This window comes from Homo sapiens, chromosome 18 (assembly GCF_000001405.40).
Source record: "Homo sapiens chromosome 18, GRCh38.p14 Primary Assembly".
NCBI classification, from domain to species: Eukaryota; Metazoa; Chordata; class Mammalia; order Primates; family Hominidae; genus Homo; species Homo sapiens.
In genome coordinates, this window is record NC_000018.10 from 61,824,620 (window position 1) to 61,851,681 (window position 27,062).

The following is a 27,062-nucleotide window of genomic DNA, read 5'->3' on the forward strand; positions in this document are numbered from 1 at the left end:
TCAAAAGAAAAACTCCTTCAAGTCTGATCAGTAGCCTTCCCAGATGAAGAAAGATATTCCTATTACCCAAACTTGTTACCAGATGAAGGGGGTCCCAACAACGCTACCTTGAAAAGAAGCTGCACAGTTTTCTGGCTTGTGCAGGAAGCCAAGGTTAGCGCTGGCATTCATCAAACACATGGCTTTATCTTCATTTGCTCTAATCACTCAGTGACAGTCAAGAAAAAGTTGCTCATGGTCATTAAAGCAGGAAAGAGCTATAAAAGACTGTCAGGAGATCCCCAGGCTCCCTGGAAAGAGGGAGTGATAAAAGATGCTGACAGATAGACAGACAGGCAGGCAGGTAGAGCAAATAAAGATGATCAATTACCCTGACTGCCAGAATTCTGAATAGAGTTGAAATAACTGACAAATCAAGCACACAGGGAAAGCCAAAGAGATGAAAAAACAAAAATCCTACTAAGTCTTACCAGCTGCTGAACAGCTACAAAGAACATAGCAGTGAGTAAGCAGATATTTATTGTGAACTCACCTTGTGTACTATTCAAGGAACCGGCGTTGCCATGGTAAACAAGAGTCCTACCCTCAAGGAGCCTGGATGTACAACCAGAAGAAAAGAACCATATAAAGAGAACCATGAGAAAGAGAGAAGGGTAGACAGAGCACTGGAAGGAGACTCTTCTTCAACTGAGCATGTATGTCCAATTGATCATATATATATAGGGATTAAACAGAACCTTTAAACAGAACTATCATTGCCTGTCAGAGCCAGAAAGGACATTTGGAATTTAAGGAGCCTACAAGCTGGCCCACTGTTCTTTCCACTCCAGAGATACTGGAGAGAGAAGAAAACTCAGGGGAAGGACAGTGGCATTTCCTCTATTTGATTAAACATCACAACTGACCCTGTCAGCATCATACAGGGAGACTCCAACCACAAACCTCAAGAGATGCAAGATATTAAGATGGTAACTTAAGGTCTGGAGGCAGCTGCAGACCAGGGAAGCATGCAGTCATCACTGGAGGTGAAGGGAGGGTTTGAGGGCTGAGAGTTGTGCCTTAGGGACTGCAAGGGCCTCCAAGTAGCCAGGCTCCCTTGGAGAGCAAAGGTCTCTCTCTGCTATAGCCCTCCAGTGCCCCTACTCTTCATGTCCAATATCTACAGGACCCCCAAAGGCCCAAAGTTCCCATGTACAAATTTACATTTTAATAAAATGAACTACACATGTTCCCTACTCCTAATTTTTTTTTTACTAACCACAAATTCCAGAACAAATTGAAACCTTAAGTCAATTTGTTGGCTTTTTAAAATATTTTCCCATTATATTTTATCTATGTCAGGGACCCACAACCTTTTCCCAGAAAGGGGCAGGTAGTATATCCAGCTTCTAGGCTTTGCGGATCCTACAGTCTCTTTCACAGATACTCAACTCTGCCATCAAAATGTGAAAGCAGTCATAGTATCTCAAGGAATGAGCAAGGCTATGTTCTGTGGGGACCCACTGGAAACCCCAGAGTTGGTATAAAGACTATTTTAAGCTGGAGGCATTTGAGACTCAATAGATGCAGAAAGAAGACTTGTGGGGCATCCCTTACCTGACCAAAAGCAGAAACTTCTCAGAAATGAGAACTGCCATAAATACCTTCTTTAGAGCAGGTCTATTTCCAGGAGAGAAACAAAGAGAAACCCACCATAAATCCCCTCTTCAGGGTAGTTTCATGGCCACAAAGAAGACAGAAAGACCACTCACACATGCAAACACACATCTTATCACAAAAACATTCTTATCTCCCGTTTGAACTCCTAAAAACCCATTTGTCTTTCCTAAAGATACCTATTTGTTCTTCCCATACAGGCCTTTCTCACCTTCCTCCCTTTCCCCTACTAAGTTAGGTATGTAATCCTTACATTCATCTGGGCACATGTTGTATGCATATATAAACTTTTTTTCCTCTTTACATGTTTTTGGTTACTTTCATTTGCACGTCCATGATACTGAACCTAAGGAAGAACTTTCCCTCCGCAACAGTTCTAATAAAACTGCATTTACAAAAACAGGCTATTATTTGTTGACCTCAGATCTACATCATTTTCCATTAGCCCTTCCCTGATTCTCTTAAATTTAGTATATTACTCTGGAGACACCTACCTCGAAATCAGCTTGTTGCTCTAACAGTGGTTACCTTACCTGAGTTTTCTGTCAAGCTCCAGAATGCAAACTGTTTTCAAAATTATTGTGCATTCTATTTTGGAGATAATAAGGCTTACAGATGCAACTTTGTTTTTAAATAACTGTTTCCAGACAACCAGAAAGAGCTGAGCAAAGAACATAAACAATGGCCATCATTTACCATTATTGAGAACATACAGGAAGGGGTCAAATCTTTCTTCATTCTTTGAAATATGGATCTATTATTTCAACAATATGGGCAATGGCACCAAAAGTCATAATGATAGCTCCGGATTAAAGGTAATTCCTTATTTGATGAAACTTCACAAAGACATGATGATAAATTCCTCCTTATAGTCTGAACTTTGGCCATAATTCCCGTGTTCCTTTGCATAGCTATAGCAGGCCACAAAGTAGCTGAATAAATTTCGATTTGGCCAGGTTAATCTCACTCTACACAGCAGTATCATACGGTGGGTCACCTTGACCATCAAGAAGGAACATTGAATAAATTGCCCAAACACATTCAGTATTCCTTCAAAATACTAAAGAACATGTATGATTTCAGACGAGTAGAACTTCATTAATTTGAGGTACCCTAAGGCTGGAAGGAGGTGTAAGGAGGGAAAATCTTGGCTCAATGAAAAAACAAACAACAACAACAAAAACCTACCTAACTGTTAAGACTCATTTACTTTCACACATTAAAAAATATATATTTCTTTAAATTTCCTCAAATTACCCAGAGAACATTCTATATTAACACTTGGAAAGAATGGTAAAGTAAAAGGCCAGTGGGTTTTATAGATATCTCTTTAAGTAAGTCTATTCGAAAGCCATTCATAACATTATTTTCTTTGAGCACAGAGTGTTTATTGCTGCAGTTTCTCTACCTACCCTCAATATTGATGATTCATGGCACGAGTTAAGCCTTACACTGAAGTTGCAAAGAATTCCTAAAGGCATTGGTACTAAAATTAAGCACTGCAGGGAGTCAGCTGTCAGTCTGCTCATTACTTCTGCTTTTTCTTACTTCCAGCTGCAGTAACTCAATGAGGGTTGATTTTCCATTTAGGCAAGGTAAGAAGGAAAGAAAAAAGTACAAACCTTGAAACTAGATATGGAACAGCGGTGCAACCCAACACCATCCATCATTAATCCACCTTTTCTAACCTAACAAAAAATCCAGATTTCTCCTCTTGCTTTCTTAAATTTATTTTGTAGTCAACTTTAAGGCAAAGTTTATCAGCAATAAAATGCACATATGTTCAGTGTACAGTTCAACCAGTTTTGACAAATGTACTCACCTGTGTAACCACTACACCAATCAAGATATTTCCGCCACCCCGAAAGGTCCCCTTGTGCCTCATGCAGTTCATACATCTGCCCCTATCTCTGCCACTAATAGCCACTGCTCTGCTTTTCAGAGAATTTGAGTTTGCGTTTTTTCTTCCTTCCTTTCTTTTTTAAGAGACGGGGTCTTGCTATGTTGCCCAAGCTAGTATGGTGACTATTCACAAGCATGATCATAGCTCATTGCATCCTTGAACTCCTTGCCTCAAGCAATCTTCCTGCCTTAGCCCCCCGAGTAGCTGGGACTACAGATGCACACCACCATGCCCAGCTACTTTTCCAAAAAACATTTTTTTGTAGAGACGGGATCTTGCCATGTTGCCCAGGCTGAAGTGCAGTGACACAATCATAGCTCACTGCAGCCACCAACTCATGGCCTCAAGTGGTCCTTCCATCCCAGCCTCCAGAGTAGCTGGGACTACAGGTGTACACCATTGCACTGGCAAATTTATGTATTTAAAACCCAATCCATAGGTATTGGTTTAGAAAAAAATGTGATAATATTCTCAGTGTACTTTAGTGTGTTTTTAGAAACAAAGTTTTTCATCCAACTTCTTATTCGTATTTCCCAGAGAAAGCCATAGAGTAACAAATACTACTATTAATGTAGGCACATTCAAATGCATATTGAGTATAAGGCACTACTCTAGGTTTGGGGAATCTGAAGAGAAAAAGATAGGGCCCTCTCCTGCTAAGGCCGGTGGGGAATACAGGCAGCCATGCTTGATGTGAAGAAACTACAGTCATGTGATTGATACTTCACGCGGGAGTATCAGGTTGAACTGGAAGAAGGAGCACCTATGTCTGTCTGGGGCATCCAGGAAGGATTTTTCAAGAAAAAGTACCATTTCAATGTCAAGGGTGAGGACTCAGCAGACACAAAGGCACAGAGACCAAGACGAGGGGAGGCAGTGCCCAGGGTGGTTACGGGTAGGGACCAGAGCCTGGGACCTCCAGTAAGTCAAATACCCCTGCAATAGAGTTGTTAAGATTAACATGCATTCATACATGTTGAGCATGTAGGGCAGCACACGGCAGGTGGTTTAGCTCTTCTCCTAGCGAATATCACTGTAAGGGGAGGCAGGAAGGAGACGCAGGGCACAGCCTGGACGACTGGCCTGCCCAGTGGTGTGCAGTGTGACAGTTCTCAGGATGACTAATCAGCCCGGCCAGAGGAGGCACAGACCCAGAGACAGATGGGGGTTAAGGTCCACTCTGCCAGCCCCAGCGCTCTAAAGCAGGGGGTGGTCCCAAGGACCAGAGCGGCTGTCCCTGCAGCTGGGATGGGCCAGGTCACTAAGGGGCAGCAGAAGCAGAGAGCAAAACAAGGCCCAGGGAGAGAGGAGAGAGGGGAGAGAGAGATATATATATATCAGGGGAGGGAGAGAGAGAGAGAGAGATACTGGGAGAGGGAGAGAGAGAGATTGGGGGAAGGAGAGAGAGAGAGAGATAAGGAGAGAGAGAGAGAGAGACATCCTAGGGCGGTTGAAGGGGAGTGAAGAGGGGAGGACCAGGAGGTGAGGGGAGAAGGAGCAGGATGCGGTCCAAACCTTTCCCCTCCTCTTCCAATCCAAAGCAAGGGGTGCTGAGAAAGGCCAAGCCTCCAGGAGTAGCTGGAAGCGGAAGTTCTTATGTTGTGAGAAGAAGTGAGAATATGAAGAATGGAAGAGAAAGACCAGTCCCCTCCTATTCTGTAATCTGGGTTTTGTCTTGTAGGCTGTGGGGCTTGTGAAGACTTCAGGGGGGCAAGTGTAACCATTATAATGGCGTTATTATTGCTATTAATATTCTTACTATTTTAGCCATTTGAAAGTGTACAATTCAGTGGCTTTAAGTCACCATCATGTGTAGCCATCGTCCCCATCTATTTCCAGAGAGCTTCTTTTTTTTTTTTTTGAGACAGAGTCTCACTCTGTCGCCCAGGCTGGAGTGCAGTGGTGCGATCTTGGCTCACTGCAACCTTCACTTCACGGGTTCCAGGGATTCTCCTGCCTCAGACTCCCGGGTAGCTGGGACTACAGGCACACACCACTGTAGTCTGGCTAATTTTTTGTATATTTAGTAGAGATGGGGGTGTCTTGGTATTTGGCCAGGCTGGTCTTGAACTCCTCACCTCAAGTGATCCACCCACCTCGTCCTCCCAAAGTGCTGGGATTACAGGCATGAGCCACAGTGCCCAGCCCTTTCCAGAGCTTTTTTATCATCCCAAACAGAACTCCATACTCATTCAACAACCGCTCCCCATTTCTCCTGCCCCCAGCCCCTGCTAACCGGTCACCTTTCTGGCACTATGAATTTGCCTGTTCCAGGTACCTCATAAGAGTGGGATTGTACACTATTTGTCCTTCAACCATTGTCCTAATATTTGTCTGGCTTATTTCACTAAGCATGTCTTCAAGGTCCACCCACATTGTAACACGTATCAGAATTCCTTCTTATGGCTGAGTAATATTCAATTGTGTATTATTTTTTCTTTTTAAGCCACTCTGGCAGCAGAGTGAGATATGAATTGGCAGAGGCTGAACTAAAGGAAAGAGGGGCAAGGCTGGAATGAAGGTAGGGATGAAGGAGGAGGAAGAAGGCATGGAGATTGGCTGGAAGTACAAAGAGCTGAGAGTGAAGGAGTATAGAAAAGATCCCTGATTTCTCAGTGAGGCAGCTGGATGGAGGAAGCATTTTTGAGGGGTACAGCTGTGACAAAGGTCAGTGAAGAGAGTGGCATCTGAAGGTTAGAGATAGCCAATACTCTCTGAATCTTGAGATTTTGTACCTAGCAAAGTCCTGACTTGTATGTGTAATTTAGACAACTATTGGGAAACTAGCTTTACCCTGTAATTTTATTTATATGAAGTTATATTTCACCAAGTCTATTATTAGACAATAAAGAAATAGGTATTTCCATTAACAGGCCTTCTAGAAAGAAACAAAGGATGTGGAAGAGACTATGAATCACAAATATTTATGTTTATAGAGATTAAACCTTAACAGCACTCAAATTCTTCTCATCTGTGAAAAGCTGCAGCTAAGTACTTAGAAGCGGTTCTGTGCACCAGGCTGGAGCTGGTCCTTAGGTCCTCAGATCACCACTGTCGCTAGTCCACAGCCACTTCTCGTCTTGTAAATCCCTCCCACTCTAAACCCTGGGCTGTGATTACAGAATCAGCTCGGGGAAATGCTCGGATTCATCATCTTTCCCTTTGCTGCTTATTTAGCTTGAGCTCCTTCCTGCTCTCTAAGTGGACACATTTTACAAACTAATGAAAGCTTGCCCAGCACAGTAGATGGCACACACTGGGCACTAATTTATTCAATAACGCCAGGATGAAAATGCTTCCTGCTCTTACTGTCTCCCTTATTATCTCCATAATAAGAATATTCAACTTTCTAAGGAGCCAGGAACTGAAATGTGAGGTTATGGATTATTCATACTTTTATATCCAAGACTACGCACAAAGTATTTAAGATGTAAGATAAAAAAAATAAGCAATTTAGAACACAATGCTCACTTCCTACTGTCACTAGCTACCCTCAAAGCAGAACAAACAAACAAACAAACAAAAACCACTGTAAATACAATTTCTATGTCAGATAGAAAGCAATAATTCATTTAATTAAAAATTTTACATGTTAATTACTTCTATTTTAAAAAGTGTCCTGTCAAATGGTAAAAACTTAAAGTCCTGTCATCAATAAGAAACAATTTACTTCCAGAACATTTTAAAAAATTATGTAACCTATTTAAAATGTAAATAATATTATAAATATAGTATTATGTGTGTGGGGGGGTGTGGGTGTGTATAGGGGTGTGTGTCTTGATCTGTAATCATACTCACACATATACCAAATAAAATCCAATTCATTTTCTTGAAACTAAGAGACACAGTTCCTAAGCCTTGAACTGGTTTTGTTGGAGTCGTTGCAATTGTCCTTCATAACATCAAATGTATTCAGTTTTAGGGGAAGTCAAACATTCAAGTCACATTTGTAAACTGTTGAGAGCCACTAAACATATTAATCGATAATAATCAACACTTAATAGTAATTTCTACCAGTGCAAAAGGATATATTTTTGATTGGGGTGAATTCATTCTAAAGCATTTCAGATGTGCACAAGTAGGAAAGTCTGTACTGCTGTTATTCACAGTATATGGATTTTTGTTTTTGTTTTAAGCGCACATGTATATATGTACTACTTAACTAAAACTACTTTAAAAGTAAAAATGTCTATTTTTACAATATAAAATATTTATTTGTCCTAAGCTAGTCATTTTAGTTACAGTAATTAAGTTTCATTTGGTAAAAACTGCTATCCTAATTCAGTAAGACAAAAATATTTCCCAAATAGCTACGCATACCCTGTAGAATTAAGCCTGTTTAATCCACAAATAACTGCTTGAGTTTCAGTTTTCATTTCCTTTGTGAAAAAAATTCTCAATAACTTATCTTTCTCAGGATAGTCATGAAAAGTATCTAACATCAATAAGTTAATATTTTTTAATTACCCAAATTCTACCTGTGAACTAAAAAAACAGCCCGATTTAACAGGCATGCATTTTGTAAGCAGAAAATCATTACAAGAGTCTTCTGGGCCAGCAAATAAAATCGACAGGATTTTAAAAGCCACCCTGTGTTTAGAGCCCACCATATTATTAGGTCTTGCCAGATACAAAGAACATGGTTTCAATCACCAAATAGTAATTAGATGACAATACATCTTGCCAGTTGGCATATCATGACCTTCACTCCACACAGGGATATTGCTATAGCTCTTGTTAGTTAGTCTGTTCCCATTTTATAAGTACCTATAACATGGAAAATCTGTATCTGCTTAATTCAAGATGTTTGTCAAAGCAGAAGAAACAGTAAGGCATACATTAATTCAGTCACTGTGCCAGTTAAGGGATGGCAGCGTGCTTTCTTCCATTCCTCAGCTGTATCTACTAAAATTCACTGACTTCTACCAACAGGAAATTACTATTTCCTTGCTTTATGCATATTCTGACACCTTTCCTGAAGATGTAGCAATACTAGGAGTAAAACAACAAATACAGATTTAAATGAAGATAGATTTCTCACAAACCATTAGCTGATGTAGGTCGCAAGAATCAGATTAAATTGGTTTATTGAGACAGCCAGTCTATTTCAGAAAATAATTCTCTAACTAATACTCTCAAGTTATTGAGTAACTTAAAATAAAACAAGGTCAAATTTAACCTACATTAGAAAGAAGGTGGAGGTAGCAAAGCCTCAAAGAATCCAAATTTCAGGTGATTCACAATGCCCCACTGCTACAGCTGCAAATCCAATTCCAGCTTCTACCAAGAACTCCTGTCCTTCAAATGATGGTTTTAATTGTCGAAACTCCTCTGCGTTTCCCTCTAATGGAATATCAATGAAACCACAGAACCACAGACACACACAAACATGATTTCCTGAGGAAGTGATTCTAGGGCTAACATAACTGAACACGAGGGCCGTCTGTTAGTCTCGTCTGTTTGTTTTTCTTTAGCTGATGGGAAACATTACAAGAGCTCTCAGGGCCAAAGGGACTATGCATTTTAAAAATGTCATCCATCCCTGAAGCTGGATTATAATAAGCAGATAAAGAGACAAAAGCATTCTGACAACAATTTGAAGAGATTTTTCTTTCTGTCCATAGATCTAGAATGGGGTGATACATCACCTAAGGTGACCTCTCTCAATTATAGCTACTTTCATAACCTGGTTGCCATTTGAGCTTTAAAAAAAAAAGTTTCATCCACAAGATAAAATATCAGATGCGCTAAGAATACCAACTCCTTTAATTATGTGTGGTTAGCAAAAGCTAATGCAAAACTGCTCTTTTCCACAAATCAGCAAGTCGTCATTCACTCAATCAACCATCCAATGCTTTATTAAGCACCTACTATGTACCAGACACTGGAGCAAAAGATGTGACCCCTGGGTAGTTGTCCAATCTTATTTTTGTTACGTCCTGGCTTGAATCCCACACTCCAGCCACTCTGAGTCACTTGCACATCTCTAAAAGCAACATGCCTTTCTCATCTCTAAGCCGTTCTTTCTCTTATCTCATCTCTTGGGATGCTGTCCTTTTGGTCTGGAACCAAAAAAGAGAAGGACAGCATCCCAAGCTAAGAGAAAGAATGGCTTACAGATGAGGCACACTGCTTTCAGCCCAAATGTCTATCACCTCCTCCAAGAAGCTTTCCCGTTCCCCTCCAGCTGGCTTAGACACCACTTCTATGTTCTCCTAGGAACCTTTCTAGAATGATCATATTTTGTGTCCTTTTAGTCTCCCACACTGAAAAGTGAGTTCCTTAGAGGGAAGGCACCTACACACACACCCAGCATCTAGCCAACTGATGGACTCTATTGACCTTTATTTACCTTCATCTGCCTCGGCTACAAAGAAGACCCCAAGGACAGGGATCTGGTCTGTCTTGTATTCTTTCTGCAGTACCTAGGCAATGACTGGCACTCAGTAAGTGCTCAATAAATGCTTGTAGAAGGGGTGAAAACTAACTGAAATTAGGCCATTTTTAAAAAAAATTAAGCATATCTGGCTACCAGTATTTGCAGGCAATTCAGAAATCATGAGTATAGTAAGATTCATACATTATCAGTATGCTTTTATGATATCTCCTCGCAGAATGGTAAGTTACTTAAAAGAAAGAGTTACTAGGTAGGTAACTAAACTTAGATGTTAAACTAGTACTTCTACAAAATAATCTGAATCCATGCTTCATAATGTCCACTGAAAACCTGATAAATCAGCGTCTGGGGGTAGGGTCCCACTGCAAAGATCTGCAAAAAGGCAACGTTCCCTGGGTGATTCCAATGTCAATTGAGGGTTGAGAGTCACTGATAATTTCTCACTCCAACTAAAAAGGGCTCTAACAATTTGCCCCAAAATAGGCACTCTCAAACACTGCTAAATGGGAGAAGAAAATGGTAGCAAGGAAATGTGGCATTATCTAATAAAGCTACATATGATTTAACTTTTGACCCAGCAAAAGTATTTGCAAGTATTCATTCTGAAAATACAGCTCCACAGTACAAAATAGCATATTTACAAGGTAATTCATTTCACCATTATTTGCAATAGGAAAAAAATCTAAATTCCTATCCATAGGAATCTGACTAGACTACGTCTCTCCACCTGATGGAGTGGTATGTGTTTGTAAAACAAGAATGAGAAAGAAGTTTATGAATGGCTTTGGAATAGGAGCCAGGTTATATTGTTACGTGAAAGAGTTCACCTTATTTCAAGGTGAAAGAGTGAGAATATATATTTGTTTATTTTTACAAAAATAAACCCAGAAAGGACAAATCAATTAAGGGAAAGGTTCATGAATAAGGAGGCAGGTGGGAACAGAGAGGAAAGGCATGGGAGACCTCCTCAATATGACTTTTTTGAATTTTTGACTTTTGATCCATGTAAATATATTACATATCAAAAATAATAAATTAAAAAGGATAAACAAAATCAAACCCTAAAATTAAATACAAACAGAAACAAGTAAACTGGATTCAATTCAACAACAGAACCACATTCAAATCCCTTTTGAATACAAGCACTCCATACGCCTTTAGTGGGGTACATCCTTTAATAATAATAACTGTAAAGCAGTCTTGAACTTTACCTATTTGGTTAGTTGTTGGTATTGGTATTGATACTAGTATAGTAGTAATTCTGAAACTAGTTTGTATAGACCATATGCTAAAACAAATAAGCAACCAGATTGATATTGTCAGAAAACAAGGCCAAGGCTTTCTCACTGTGGAAGGAGAGACAAAAATTTTAGAATGGGAGAAGGTGAGAAGGAACATAGTTGTACTGAATTTAAATTGGAACCATCAGATTACACCCATGATTTAAAATAATACATAAATTTCTAAGCCTTGTCAACTGAAAGGCCTAGAAACAGTGACAGTCTAGTAACAATGAGCACACTTAGTTCCTAGATCTTGGTATCTAAGTAGCATTTCTCACTAAAAAGAAGCTGACATCTTTGGAGAAATGGTTGATTCCAGGTCTGGGGCAGGGAAAATACAAAGTGAGCCTGGAATGTCCTTTTGTGCCATCACGTGGGGACATGGGGACATGTCAAAAGGCCCCAGGAGCCAGCTCACAGTGGAGTGGCCAAATTTGGAAACATTTGAATATTGAAAAAAAAAAGTGCTATAGGCCGAATGTCTGTGTCCCCCCAAAATTCGTATGTTGAAACCCTAATCCCCAATGTGATGACATTTGGAGGTAGGGCCTTCAGGAGGTAATTAGGTTTAGATGAGGTCATGAGGGTAAGGCCCTAAGATGGGATTAGTGCCCTTATAAGAAGAAGAAAAGATCAGTGCCCTCTCTCTCTCCTGCCAAGTGAGGATACAGCAAGAAAGCGGCTCTCTGCAAACCAGAAAGAAGGTTCCCACCCGAATCTGACCATGTTCAGCACCTTGATCTTAGACTTCCCAGCTTGCAGAACTATGAGAAATAAATGCTTGTTCAACCCACCCAGTCAATGTTGTTTTGTTATGGCAGCCCAAGCTAGCTAAGACAGATGGTAATGTTTTATAAGACACTGAATTTAAAAAAAAAATCCTTGACTCCATAGTAACACTCAAAGGGGGAAACATACAGAAAAAGAAGGGGAAAGAAAGGCAGGAATAGAAGGGGGATTACAATTAACTAAACTTTTTGAAAGCCACCATTTTACCATCTCCAATGTAATGACCAATTTAGGCATAAATCATCAATAGATGCTAAAATCATTGGATTACAGGCTTTGACAGACAGGATATTTACATGTCTCAAAATATCAGCTCACAGATTGCTTACTAAATGATAAAGAGAGTTATCTTTACAGATATCACCTTAACCAAAGATCAACTTTAGCACCCTCAATAATGGAAGAGCTGACATCATGCTTCCCAAGGTGATGCAATGGGAAGAAGGCAACATCCCTTATGAAGTATCACGCCTAAATGTTCGTCTTGCATCCAGTCAGTCATGACAGGGATGATGAGACATGTAGGACTAGTACTGGCTCCTCAAAACTCTCAATGTCATGGAAAGGAAAACAAAAAGCAACGAGATTGTTCTAGATTTTAAGAGACTACGGAGATGAGGAAACCAAATTTAATTCATGAACCACAATGAGATCCAGGATTGAGTGGGGAAAATGCCCAAAGTGATACAAGGCATTTTAAAATATGAACTGCATATTAGATGATATTGAATTAATGTGAATTTCTTAGGTGTGATAATGGTGCGATTATGTAAGAGAATGTCCTTATTATCAGGAGATATTTACTGGAAGTATTCCAGGGTAAAACGTCATGATGTCTGCCAATAAGATGAAATGTTAAGACTGCTGACTTTGTACCAGTCTCTCCACATTTCTGTGTATTTTACATTTTTCAAAGTATTTTTTTAATTACTATGGACTTATCTGCATCCCCATATAACAAAATCCCTCATACAGATCTCCATTCCACTTGCTCAGTTGTTCTTTTTATTTCTAAGATACTTGATAGAAGAAAGCCTCAAAAAAGGGATAGCAAGCCTCTTGTGCTTCTAGAAAAGCTGCCAATAGCCCTTTAAACAACTTGTGTGAGGATCCACAAAAATAACGCTTCCTAACTTAGTGCTGTTCTTGATATAATTTCTATTTTGCACAGACAAAGTGTCTAGCAGAGTTCCTGGCTCACAGCAGCCAAATGCATTCTTTCCTTCAGACTTTGCAGGGATAGCCCACAAGATCCTGGGGATCTGGATCCAACAAAATCCAGGCCTCATCTCCTGCCCTCCTGTCTTCACCAAGGGTCCACACACTCTTCAACCTCTGATTTCTCACCTCTGTGCCAGTCTTTTGAAGAAACACACACATGGTTCCTCTGACTTAAAGGCTTCCCGTCCCCACATACAAAGGTAGAGGTTCTTTCCCTCCCAAACCCTCAGCCCTTTATCAGTCCCTATGAAACAATTCCCAAGCTGCATTATAATTACTTTTTCACTCACCATTCTCACCCCCATCAGACTTTGTTTCCTCTAGAGCAAGAAACACATGTTCATTATCTTTGCAAACAGCAGCATCCAAAGCACATACTAGGCATTCATATCCTTCAGTGAATTGAATTAATATGAAACACAAACAATCCTAATTCAATTTCAGACTCCTCTTTTGGCTTTTCATTTGCTTTGGTGTGTTCAAGGGACCAAAGTAGCAATCACAAAAGACTCCAGAGATCAGCCCTGTAACCAGAGACGGAGGAGTCATACTTACATCCTCCCATTTTGGATCTGCACTTCCAGCCAGCCAAATTTTCATTAACATTAGCAGAAATGAATCTCAAAGAACCAAGATTCAATGAAATGGACCTCAGTGTGAGCTTAAACCAACCCCCTTTTCTAGAATGAACAGTCTTCATTCCTCTGAAGTCCCCGGCAATCCTCCAACTTGGTCCCAAAGCATCTATAGATAGCCACAGACGGTCCCCAGACAGCACTAACATTCACGGCCAGGAAGACAAGGAAGAGCTGCTTTTATCAGGATGGCACTAGAGGGCCAACAAAGATTGATGCACCTCCCTCTGCTGTTCAAAGTGCGACTGCAGGCCCAGCTTTCACCTCCACGTTCAGATCTATCAAAGTCTTCACCCAGCCTTTTCTCATGACTTGACTCCTTGACTCCCTCCTTTTGTCAGCTGATGCTTCTTGACCCTAAACTGGCTACAGCACATCCCACCTGCCCTCTCATCCTCCTTGTCCCTGGAGAACCTGCTTCTCTGCTGACAATATTAGAAACTGCCCATTCACTCTCACCTTCCTTACACTTCTCCAATCCAAGCTGAACTTGGCCGTCATCTTCTACAACTTCAGTAAACATAATGTTCATCAGATCCCACTCTGTGGCCAAAAAAAAAAAAAAAAAGTACTAATAACTTTCCCTCCTTGAATGATTTGATAGTAAGCTGCAGGCCTGAGGTCCCGTTATCCCCATATGCTCCAAGTATTTTCTACATAACTGCAGTACAGTCATTAAAATCGGGAAATCTACTTTGGTACACTACCTCAGATCTCATCCACATTTCACCCAGTGTTCCTCTAATAATGCAAAAGGATAGACCCTAAGAAAACAGGTTGCATTTACTTGTCATAATCCTTTAGTCTTCCTCAATCTTCAAAAGTCCCTAGTCTTTCCTTGACTTTCATAACGTTCACAGTTTTAAAGATTTCCAGAAGTTATTAATATTTCATAGAACATCCCTCAGTTTGGGTTTGTGTGATGTTTTCTCATGAATGGATTCAGGTTTACCTTGGTTTTTACTTTTATTTTAGAGAGGATGAGCTATTACAGAAGCAATGCTATAATGTTCCCACTCCGTCCTAGCAGGTGGTTGTGTTGTAGTAACTTTGATCACCTGTCCCTCCTTGGATTCTCCTCCTCTTTTTACATTTAAGAAGTATTTTGTGGGCTGGGCACGGTGGCTCACCCCTGTAATCCCAGCACTTTGGGAGGCTGAGGCGGGCGGATCACAAGGTCGGGAGATCGAGATCATCCTGGCTAACACAGCGACACCCTGTCTCTACTAAAAATACAAAAAAATTGCTGGGCGTGGTGGTGGGTGCCTGTAGTCCCAGCTACTCGGGAGGCTGAGGCAGGAGAATGGCATGAACCCGGGAGGCAGAGCTTGCAGTGGGCCGAGATCGTGCCTGTGTGCTTTTGATATGTCCCCATCATTCTTTGAGCACTGCCTTACTTTGTGACAGGAAAAAATATTTCAGGCTCAACTTGTATTTCCCCATCCCCAGGCCCAGATTCAGCCATTTCTCCAGGGAGCCCTGGCTCCTTTTAGTGAAAAATGTCAGTTAGAAACCAAGGCCTGGGTAACAGGTGGGCTCACTGCCATTGGGTATCACTGCTCCCATGCATGCCCATGGGCACAGCTAGAAAATAAATGTAACCTAAAGGCCCAAGGGAGCTTATTTGCTCTTTCCCTCATGTGAGAACACAGCAAGAAAATACTGTGTGTGACCAGGAAATGGGCTCTTACCAGACACTGAATCTGCCAGCACCTTGATCTTGGATTTCCCAGCCCCCAGAACTGTGAGAAATAAGTTTCTGTTGTTTATAAGCCACCCAGTCTATGGTATTTTGCTATAGCAGCCTGAATGGACCACAGTGTCCAAAGTCTTGCTCTCACGAAGTAGGCAAGCCTCAACATCTGTAAAATCTCCTAGGATCCTGGTCTATCTTTTCTTTATAACCCAGAACCCCAAGGGGCTGTGGCACAGGGCAGAGGATGGGGGTGGGGTGGGTATTCTGTCTCTAAGTGGTCCTTCTTCTCTTCACATTTTAGTCTGGAAACTCCTAGTTCTATCTGATTGCATCATCCTTGCCATACTCTGTGCATATGCTTCTAGCTTGTGGCTTCATAGATGGATTTTCAGAGTCCCTGGGTCCCAGGGAGCCTGAGAACTAGTCCTGCACCTTGCACAATTCCCTTCCAGCTCCCAGAACCCAGCTTCTAGAATGGGGGCCTAGCACCCAGGGACCTATTTGTTCTAGAGAATTCTCCCATTGAAAAATCCAAAAAGGATGTATATTTTTAATAGCAATAGTCCATCTTTCCCTACATTAATCTCTAATGGATAGACAGTGTAGCATGTACCTTTCTAGGTTTGTGGAAGTGACAAGGTCTGTTCTCTCCAGCTAGTTTTGCATTTCAGAGCCTTTTCCCCTTCCCTACCCATGAAACCACAGCTTTCTAAAAGCACCATTGTTATTCTTCCCTTGACTGCTCTTCCCAGCTTCCATCTCCAGAAGCACCTGTCCAACTGGGTAACACAAAACCACATATAAATTATCTGGTTCCTACCACCTACTGCAGGAGGCTGGCATGGGGTGAGAAAGACCCATGGGGCACATGGAGCAGCAGTTCATGGGGAAGCTGATCAGAAGTCAGGCTCGGTCCATTTCAGATTTCATCTTCTGCTTTTTAGAAATTCCTGCAGGGTTCCATACATGATAGAAGTTTAATAACACTGTCAAGCTAACTAGCAGTGATTTCCAGTTTCCCATTAAAAGTCACTACAAAGGCCTAAAATTCTGGACATTAGAAAGCTTTCACTTTATCAAGGTGGGAGAGGCATGTAATAAATATCTCCAGACCCGCAACATAACATGACACTAGTTATTAAGGCACAAGGAACCAATATTCATGAAATAGTCCCTTCTCCATTAATAATAGTTACAAAATGACATAGCCCACCTCTGTGCTGTGCTGCAAATTTATACTCTTTATTTAAGAATAATGAATAAATGAACTTGAGCTGGATCTATTTTTGGTGTAGAGGAGTAAGATCTTTCCAACCATCATTTCAGACATGAACCCATACTGAGTCAAGGCCACTCTTTCTAGTCTAGGGATTCTTAACTTTGGGGGGTTACAAGTCATTCTGAGAAAGTGATAAGGCTCACAAACCCCTCTACCTCTGAGTGGGTAGAGATGCAGAAAAATACACATTTGTACAAAAACAGAATTGTGCGTATAATTTCATGGAGTGCAATCACTTAAGCCTCTCCATGAAACCGCAAGTGAAGAACTGGTCTTAGACTAGTGCTTCTCAATCTCCAACACGGCAGTAAATCACTAATCCTGCTTTCAGTGGCAAGGCTGTAGAACATGGGTCAATACATTCTTTGCACAGGGACAGATGGTAATATTTTAGGCTTTGTGTGCCACACAGCATCTGTTACAACTGCTCAACTCTACCACTGTAACAGAAAGCAGCCATTGACAATACGTAACAAATGGACATGACTGTGTTCCAATAAAACTTTATTTACAAAAACATGAGGTGGGTTGCATTTGACCCCAGGGCTATACTAAAAGGTATCACTTTAAAGCCAGCACAAGGAATCTAATAGCAAATCACAAAACTAAATTCAGCTCTGAGTTTTATTAAGGGTTCACATGTATTTTTACCACAAGTTGATCATATTCACTTTGTTATTTTCTTAACCAGCAATTCTGCTTATGACATTTTTTCCTACTGAACAATTTGTCGTGAACAAGCCATTGTTCCATTTTCTAGCCAACACAGTGAGTGTCAGATTAATTCCACATTATAAACATTTCCTGAAAGCCCCTTTGTGGCCTAGTTTTCTAACTCACAGCACAGTTCTATTAATTGACAGCTGACCACACACCAGACATAAAAGCAAAACACATTCTTTCACATTCCCCAGTGGCCCATTTCTCTTCTGGAGGCTGCTGTCATTGCTGGAACAAGGCTGGCAGCTGTCACACCCAAGCGAGTTGTCACAGGGGCTTTGTTTCCCTGGAGACTTGTTTTCACAAAAGTTAGGACCTGCAAGAGACTCTTCTCTGGCCTCTCTCTTCCTTCATGGCAAAAAGTCAAATGCTTGACTATTGAGCACCTTCATGAGTGAGTTTCTGTCTCTTCCTGTGTATTAGTCTATTTTTGCGCTGCTGATAAAGACACACCTGAGACTGGGCAATTTACAAAAGAAAGAGGTTTAATGGACTCACAGTTCCACATGGCTGGGGAGGCCTCACAATCATGGTGGAAGGCAAGGAGGAGCAAGTCACATCTTATGTGGACAGCAGTAGGCAAAGGGAGAGCTGGTGCAGAGAAACTCCCATTTTTAAAACCATCAGATCTCAGGAAACCCATTCACTATCACAAGAACAGCACGGGAAAGACCCGCCCTCATAATTCAATCATCTCCTATCAGGTCCCTCTGACAACATGTGGAAATTATGGGAGCTACAAGATGAGATTTGGGTGGGGACACAGAGCCAAACCATATCACCCTGTTTCATGACTGGTTCTGGTAACCTCTCCATTCACAGCAACCTGACTCTACAGAATGGAAGTGGTTTAAATGTGTTTTCCTTCTAAATGTCTTGCATTTTAAAGTTCAGAGCTAGCCGGGTATTTGACAACCTGCTCTGTGGGAAGGATTTTAGAATGCCAGGTAAGTGCCAAGAGCACCTGAACAACTGTTGCTGAATGACTGAGAAAACTATTTTCTTTTCAACTCGTGCACACCCTACAGAAAAGCCATCTCTCAGTAGAAATGACTATGGTCAATGGTGTGTTTCTAGCCAGTTTCACTGGTTTCTCAACTTAGGCCTCACTAAATTAGATATTAACATCCTTCAGGATTGTTGGCTATTGTTTAAAAATCTATAGCAATAACTGTTGTTTTAAAACAGTATGTCAGTTCCTCAAAAAATTAAAAATAAAATCACCCTATCATCCAGCAATTCCACCTCTGAGTATTTACCCTAAAAAATTGAAAGCAGGGTCTTGATGAGATATTTCTACATCCATGTTCATAGCAACATTATTTACAATAGCTAAAACATGGGAAAATACCCAAATGCCCACAGACAGATGAATGGCAAAGCAAAATATGGTATGGCCATACAATGGAATATTATTCAGCCTTAAAACAGCAGGAAATTCTGACACGTTACGACATGGGTGAATTTTGAGGACATTATGTTCAGTGAAATAAGCCAGTCACAAAAAGACAAATACTATGTGATTCCACTTACATGAGGTACTTACAGTAGTCAAAATTATAAAGACAGAAAGAATTAATAGAATCATGGTTGCCAGGGAATGGGGAAAGAGGACTTATTATTTAATGGACATAGAGTTTAAGTTTTACAAGATGAAAAGAGTTACGAAGATGGATGGAAGTTATGGTTGTACAACATTGTGAATGTATTTACCACCACTGAACTGTATACTTAAAAATGATAGAAATGCTCAATTTTATGTTATGTGTATTTTACCACAGTAAAAATAAATAAATAATAAGCAGATAAGGAGAATGAGAGAAAAGAAAGAGAGAGAGAAAGAAAAAGAAAAAAGAAAGAGAGAAAGACAGAAAGAAAGGAAAGAAAGAAAGAAAGAAAGAAAGAAAGAAAGAAAGAAAGAAAGAAAGAAAGAAAGAAAGAAATTAAGAGAAAAGGAAGGAAGGGAGGAAGGGAGGAAGAGAGGAAGGAAGGAAGGGAAGGAGGGAGGGAAGGAGGGAGGGAAGGAGGGAGACGGGAGGGGAGGGGAGGGCAGGCCCCATAGTATCTAGGAATCTAAAAAGCTCAAAGTTTAAAACTCTACAGAGCACAAATGATACTAATCATTTTGTATGAAAGCCAAAGTCAAATTCATGAGCAAATATCTTTTATAAAATCTCACACAACAAACCTGAGAGGAGTTATGAGTAACAGACTATTGGAAAATCATAAAAACAATACCTTACCACTATGCTTCACCTTGGCAAAAGAAAACCATCCATTATGTCGATCTGGTGGAAAAAGCCACACTGGCTCTGGTGGGTTTTATGTGCTTGTTGGTATTATTGTTTGTGTGTAAGAAACATGTTCAGGACTGCAGAATATTTACAGTAGCATTTTTTTTATCTAAAAGCTAAGCTTCCTTTTTGAAATCACTAGCACAAACAGGCCAACAAATTATTCATCTTGTGTCTACCCAATGACTGGGGTTTAGGAGAGAATAAGTGTAACCATAGCACGGGTCGGTAGGTCATATGTGCTTAAAACCTGTACCTCTAATGAGGGCAGTAAGATGCAATGAAACTTGATTTATCAAGGGAAGGTGCAAAATGCATTTTAACCTAGTTTTAAAAGGCTCTGATGACCTTTAGATATTCGCAATGGCCTTTTAAAACAAAAAAAAAAAAGCATTTATTCACCTACTCGCCCCAGTGATTTACGATTTATAGAGGGCAACTAACAAAGAGCCTATTTCATTCATTTTATTCCTTCCATTCCTCCTGAGGGCCATAAGTGGACACGAGTGCTGAAAACATTGGTGCCACTGTAGGATTGTTATACAAGTGCAGAGGCTGAGTTGAGATGATTTTATTTTGTTGGTGGGTGGTGGGTTTTTTGTTTGTTTTCACAGACAGGATCTCACTCTGTTGCCCAGGCTGGAGTGCAGTGGCCTGATCATAGCTCATTGCAGCCTTAAACTCCTGGACTCAAGCTATCCTCCCCCATCAGCCTCCCAAAGCAATGGGATAATAGGCGTAAGCCACTGCACCCACCCAAGATGATTTTCTTATTCACTTGTGGAGGTGACAGTTTTGGCTGTGCTGTGTAAGAAGAGCAATGCTAGGGATCTCAAATAAAACCTCATTAAACAATGAAGTCCGCTCAGAGTGCCAGAACTCTCGCCAAGCCCACACATCAGCCCCAGCCAGCTGGGCACGCAGAGCAAACCACTCAGGCCGCCGCTGCTCAAACTGACTCAGCCACCTGGGAGCTTTTGTGCTGGGAGAACATCAATCTCTCTCCTAGTTAGGTGCAGAAGTTTGAAATTTATAGTCAAAACAGTTGCTTCCCTTAAAGCAGGTTTGGAAAGTTTTTATAACGTTTCATTTTAAAATGGTAGATACATTTGTACTTTAAGACATCGAAGGGTTTATGTGAAGTCAATTTTCCTCCAAAACAAGGCTATAGATTACTGCCCTATAATGCACTTGCAATCTTCATTCTTCAAGGAACTGACCTCCCGTAGCAGAGGCAGCCCGAATAATAGTACTCCTCATTGAAACCCTCCTCTCAGGAATCACTTTTGTTTGATGAACCTGACCATAAGTCTGTTCAAAAATGTAGTCAATGCACACTGCTACAGTCTCAATGTTTGTGTCTCCCCAAAATGCATATGTTGAAACCTAATCACCAATGTGAAGGTATTAACAGGTGGGGCTTTGTGTGGGGGGGCGTGGTGATGAGGACTCAGCCCTCCTGAGTGGGGTTAGTGCCCCTTATAAAATAAGTCCAAGGGAGCTCACTTATCTCGTTCCACCATGTGAGGACACAGCAGATGCCCTTTATGAACCAGAAAATGGGCTCTCACAAGACACCAAATCTGCCTTGATCTTGGACTTCCCAGCCTCCAGAACTGTGAGTAATAAATTTCTGTTGTTATAAGCCACCCAGTCTATGGTATTATATTATAGCACCTGAAAGGACAAAGATACACACTTCATAATTCTCAACCCAAACACTCTCTCTTGTTCTTGCCTTTTCCTCAATCTTTTCTTTCTTTTTTAATAAAAAACAATCCCAAAAAACTGTCTTTGGGGAGCTTCCATGGTGTCATGTAATAAAAACTCAAAGGTACAACAGTCTCTTATTACCAAATAATAGGCCCCCTTCTCATCTCCCTCTACCCACTGTGCCTATGCAATCTCATCTCATTCAATCTCATCGCTACATTGAGCCTCTGTTCATGTTGCTTCTGCTGCCAAGAGTTTCTTCTCTACCTCCCTGACCTGGACAATTCATTGTCTTACAGGTTGAGGTAAGGGGAAAAGTGGTCCCCAACTCACAGATGCACATTCGTTGAGCACTTACTCCTTCCTTTCCCCGCAACACTCTTCTCCTGAGTGATTCCTTACTAAATATTTGCTAGGGTGTAAGCTCCACGAGTACTTGCTGCCACCAACTCAACACTGGGCAAACACCTGGCACCAGAAAGGTATTCTGTACATTCTGGGAAATTCATAGAAACATTTAGGAAAGAAGCACCAGACATAGAATTATTAATACTGCTCTCCTCACCTTCATTAGTAACAAAGCCAGACAATGCAATGCACTGATATCTAGAAGCACTAAACTGCCTGCAGAGAAAGCTTTGCTTGAGCTATGGAGACTCCAGAGCTTGGAAATCCACTAGTCTGGATTTGAGTCCCAACTCTTGTCACCAATTAATAATGTAGCCTTATGCAAGTTAACCTTACTGAGTATCTGCTTCTTCATGTGTAACTCAGGGACAATCACACCTCCATCAAAATATTGTTATGAGGATTAAATGGGGGTAAGTAGCAAGGTATCCAGCCCAGTAGTGCACATAGTAGCTGCTCAGCAAACACCGGTACTCCTCCCCCATACTTAGTCTCACCTCACCATTCAGAGCAACTGTGACATTGCCACCAAGAAAACAGAACTTTCAGAAATAAATAAAAAGCAAGAAGTGGAGAGAACAACACAAAAAAAGAGGTATCAGAGTAACATTTAAAAGCAAAAATACATCTAACAGGGCAGCAAGCTTTAACATACAAGCAAATTGGGGCTTTGAGAAATGTGCTATTTCTATTTGCATGGGGTCTGCTTTTGTGGGCGACTTGAAACTTTCATTGCATAATGCCATAAAACACAGCTCTGCTCTAAAAAGAGGTTTGGTATTGTTACAGTCAGAGCTGGTCAAACAGTGGCAAAACTCTCTCAACTCAGAAAAAATTCCCGCAAGTGTCCTTGAATCTGTTAACTATGCAAAGGTGGTTTTTGAATCAAGGGAAAATATAGGCATTGCATATTCTGCCCCTAGGCTTACTCTCAAAATCACTACCAAAACCATGGTGTAAACATTTATTTTTCTTAAAACACACCTCAGAGAAAGCAAGACACCAATGGTGATACGATTTGAAACTGAAAACTACTAAACACTGACAACAGTCATGCGTTTGAGATCATTCCTCGGGTTTCTCATAGGCGTCTCAAAGCTAAGATTTCCAAAATGGAATTCCCGGTCTCCCTCCCACCCACTTCCCAAACCTGCTCTACCCACAGTCTTCCCCTTCAGTCAATGGCCTGGCCTTCACACCTACTCTTCCCTCTGCTTGGAATCTCTGCTCTCAAATGCTGATGTATTTTTCCTTTTCACCTCCTTCAAGTCTGAGCTCAAATATCACTTTCTTCAGAAGGTCTTCCTTGACTGCCTTTTTACACATTGCAAGCTCTCACCACACTCACGCTTCCCTTCGTGTGATTATTTTTCTCCAGATGCAGATCATCTTCTAACACCTTATGTAATCTACCCATCTGATTTTACTTGGAATCACCTGCTATCTCCCCAGAACATAAGCCCCACTGTGTGTTTCATTTGGGGCTGCATTCCCAGCATCTAGAACTGTGCCTGGCACACAGTAGACACCTGATTTCAAAAGCGCCTCTGGGCTCCTCTCACATCAGCTAACTAAAACCCTATGAGGTAGCAGGAAGAGCGGGCTCTTACTAACTCTGCCCTGTCTCTCCCTCTCCCTCTCTCTCTGACCCACCACAACAGCTAAAGTTTTCTAGCTTTCTCAATATTTTTGCAAGATATCAGTGCTTCCACAATTTTTCTAACCATTAGTAATTATGCCACATTTTTTGAATGATTCCATAGCCTCAAAGAGAAGCTCTAGGTTTATATGTCAAATATAATCAAAGAAAAAAAAATCAATACCACCCTGCTACCATCACCTTCCCCCAGATAAAACCAGAAGTCAGTAACAGAATAGCAAGCAACATCCGTAAACTTACTACACACAGCCCCCCAGGCTGTACGTGGCCTCAGCCTAACACAGTTACCTTCTTAGTAGTATTTGCAGAGAGGCTTCGGAAGGAACTGTACGTAGGTCTATGCAGGGTTAAGGGTCCTACAAGGCCCCCAGAGACCAGCACCTGTGGAAAGCCCCTACTGACCTCAGGGTGGAGGGGGCAAGACAGCAGCTGTCACCAGAAGCAGTGAAAGTTTGGAGCCACGGAAGAGGCCTGCCCGGCAGGAGCTGATGTACAGATGGGGACAAGGGGCTAAGGCAGGGAGGAGGAAAGTACTCAGAATTCTCCATCTTGTCCCTCAGTCTCCTGCCAGTGGCCTAACCCAACATGAAGCCAGAGGGCAAGAGAGCCAGGACACAGCCCACAGAGGTCTCAAAAGACTGGAGAATGATCCACAGGGATGCAGAATCTCCAGCACAAACCAATAGCCCGTGGAGATCCTGGACTCTGCACCAGCCCAGGGGAGAACAGGGAAGGGGAGCCTGGAGAGGGCCTTCGAGCATTCCTACTTTCCCGTCATTGTCAGCTGTGAATCCCCCGGGGTTTGGGAGCCAAGTCTGTGTCAACCCGTACTATGACTCCCTGCCTCCTCTCTCTCGCTCCACTGAGGGGAGATGGGTGGAGAAACAGGGGAGTACTGCCCTGCGGGGGCTTCACCAGCTCACAACCTGAGTACTAAATCCTTTGTCTGGGGCAAATGGTCTCCAGTACATAACACATAAAAACCAAGACCCAATCACTATGTGACATGGCCAGAAATTTTCCTTTTTAGAAAATCTACATTTTTGCTACCTTGAAGTTAACCCTGAGGAATTTCCCTGGACCCATAATTACTTTTGAGAACTTGGCTCCCTTTTCTAAAATTATGTCAAAAGTGTCACAGGTGGCCAATCCCTGAGCAATTACAACGAATAACTACAAAGCTTTAGGTGTCATTAGCACCTCTTTCCCCCAACAGCCACACGAAGGGGATTGAAGTAACCTGCCCAAAGTGGCCACTGAGCTAATGCCAAACCCTGTGCACTGTTCCAAAATATGCAGAAAGAAATTTCAAAATTTAACCCAAATGGAAAGTTCTTAAAACTATGGTTTTAGATTATCCAAAACAAAATGGATCTCTCCTCTACCAATTAGTTTGAAAGCATGTAATTGTATGGACTGAATCCTCATTGAATGAGTGTTGTTGCTGTTGTTTTGGTTTGGCTTGGGTTTTCTTTAAGAGAAGTGGTCTCACTATGTTGCCCAGGCTGGTCTTGAACTCCTGGCCTCAAACCATCCTCCCGCCTCAGCCTCCCAAATTGCTGGGACTACAGGTTTGAGCCACCATGCCCTGACATCATCAAATGAGTTTGAGGAGCACCTGGCTTCTGGGTAAGTTCTATCAAGTACTGTGTGACCTGAGGCAATTCTCATTCTCAGTGCTTACTGCCTATCTCTAAGATGTCTAAATATGGTTCCTCTTCATCCAAACCTGGCAGGGACATATTGGGGTGAATTAGCCAATATTTTCTTCCTGTCTCTTTTAGAGCTTCTTCTTTCTCAATCCACCTAACTGTGGATTCTACCTAAGGCAATAATACGGTAGTGTTGAAAAGACACGAGTCTGGAATCAAATGGAAGACCTTCCACTGACAAGCTGCTTGAACGTGGGCAAGTTATCTAACCTTGTTATTCTTCAATGCCCCTTGTCAGTAAAGTGTGAACACTAAGAAAGCACGACCTCATACAGTTTCTGGCTGATAAAATGAGAAATGTGTGCAAAGCCCTTGACATATCATCTGGCACAGAATAACTCCTTGAATGCAGAATGCTATCATTATCACTATTACAGTCCTCTCATTTTTCATATGTGGTTTTTAAGTGAAATAGGTGACAAAACAAAATTTCTTTGAGCACTTGCTAGAATTATTCTATACCCTTAAAATAATTCTTTTCTACTCTTGAAAAGCAGAGTTAAAAATAACACATCACTATTATGATCACCATCAAACTTGGTTAACAGTTCTAATCACTGATAAATTTCAAGTTACTGAGAGGCAGACTCAAGCTCCATATACTTGATTAGAGCACAATAAATATTTACTAAGGGAATCTTGGAAAAAGGAGGCTTTCAGTTTGGATCATTTGCTATGAAAAAAATATAAATTCAGGACAACAAAGTAAACCTGTATGTGAATGCTACCCTAAAAACAGAGAGGTTAAAATATAGACAATTTTATGGTTTATCCAAACCGCTTGTTTGAGCTCAGGGAACTGATGAGAGCTTACTCACCTCCTACCTTGCAGCCTCCCCCTGAGCACTTCACCCTTAGGCTGTGAGGTACACACGTACTCAGGAAGCTCCATCCAGGCAGACAGCATGCACCCCTGAATGGCTAGTGCAGCTCTGGGCACACGGAAATGCCCAGTCATCATGTTTGCTTTCATACATGATTGGCTGTGTAGCCAATCAAATTAGAGAATCATGGCCACTCCCCAGGGTACATACCACCAGGTGCATCAGCCAGTGACCTTTCTCTGTTTGGTCCTCAAGACCATCTGCTGATATCCACAATGATTAAAAAAAAAAAAAAAAAACTTATGATCTGACTGTGGTTGGTGCAAATAAACCATTTCAGGTCTTACCTTTCTGACCCATCAGAAACAGACAGGCTGTACTCACCCCATCCCTCCCTCCCATCACTACTTTGTGTCAATATTTTAAATCAAACTTTATTTTTTATTTTCATTTTTAAAATCAAACTTTAAATCACTGAAGTCCTTCACAAGGGTGTCCACTCTGCATAAACACTGCATCTATACCATATTCCTACCAGTAGTAGGTGTCCAATAAGTGCTTATTGAAGAGGGGAGGGAGGACGGAAAAGAGGAGAAAACACTTACCCAAGCGCCTGAGCTGCCCCAGCTTCAGGGGTGAGGCTACAGTGAGACACTCAGGAACTGTGCCCAGTTTTCTCCGTGCCTTATCTCATCCTTACAACAGCCCTATGGGAGGGTATCTTATTTGCCCATTTTCTACAGATGAGGAAATGGAGGTACACTTAAGTTAAGTAACTACCTGAGTATCCCCCACACAGTAAGTTTCAGAGCCAAGGTTTAAACTGAGACAATATAATCCAGACTGTCTGGACACCCAAATTCACCCAGGGC

The 27,062-nt window shown here is 41.4% G+C and overlaps 1 protein-coding gene across 7 annotated transcripts in view; it reads right to left on the reverse strand.

Annotated features, from left to right (window-relative positions):
- Window positions 1-27,062, reverse strand: part of RNF152 (ring finger protein 152) — an 86,346-nt gene that overhangs the window by 16,553 nt on the left and 42,731 nt on the right. The window contains exons 5-6 of one of the 7 annotated variants that reach the window (XM_047437349.1): window positions 16,401-26,927; window positions 14,344-14,427 (exon numbers count right to left, since the gene is read on the reverse strand). The exons of 5 other annotated variants lie outside the window; for them this stretch is intronic. The gene's annotated coding sequence lies outside the window, so the exon portion shown is untranslated. The remainder of the gene's footprint in view (window positions 1-14,343; window positions 14,428-16,400; window positions 26,928-27,062) is intronic. One more of the 7 variants, XM_005266650.4, reaches the window with a different exon arrangement.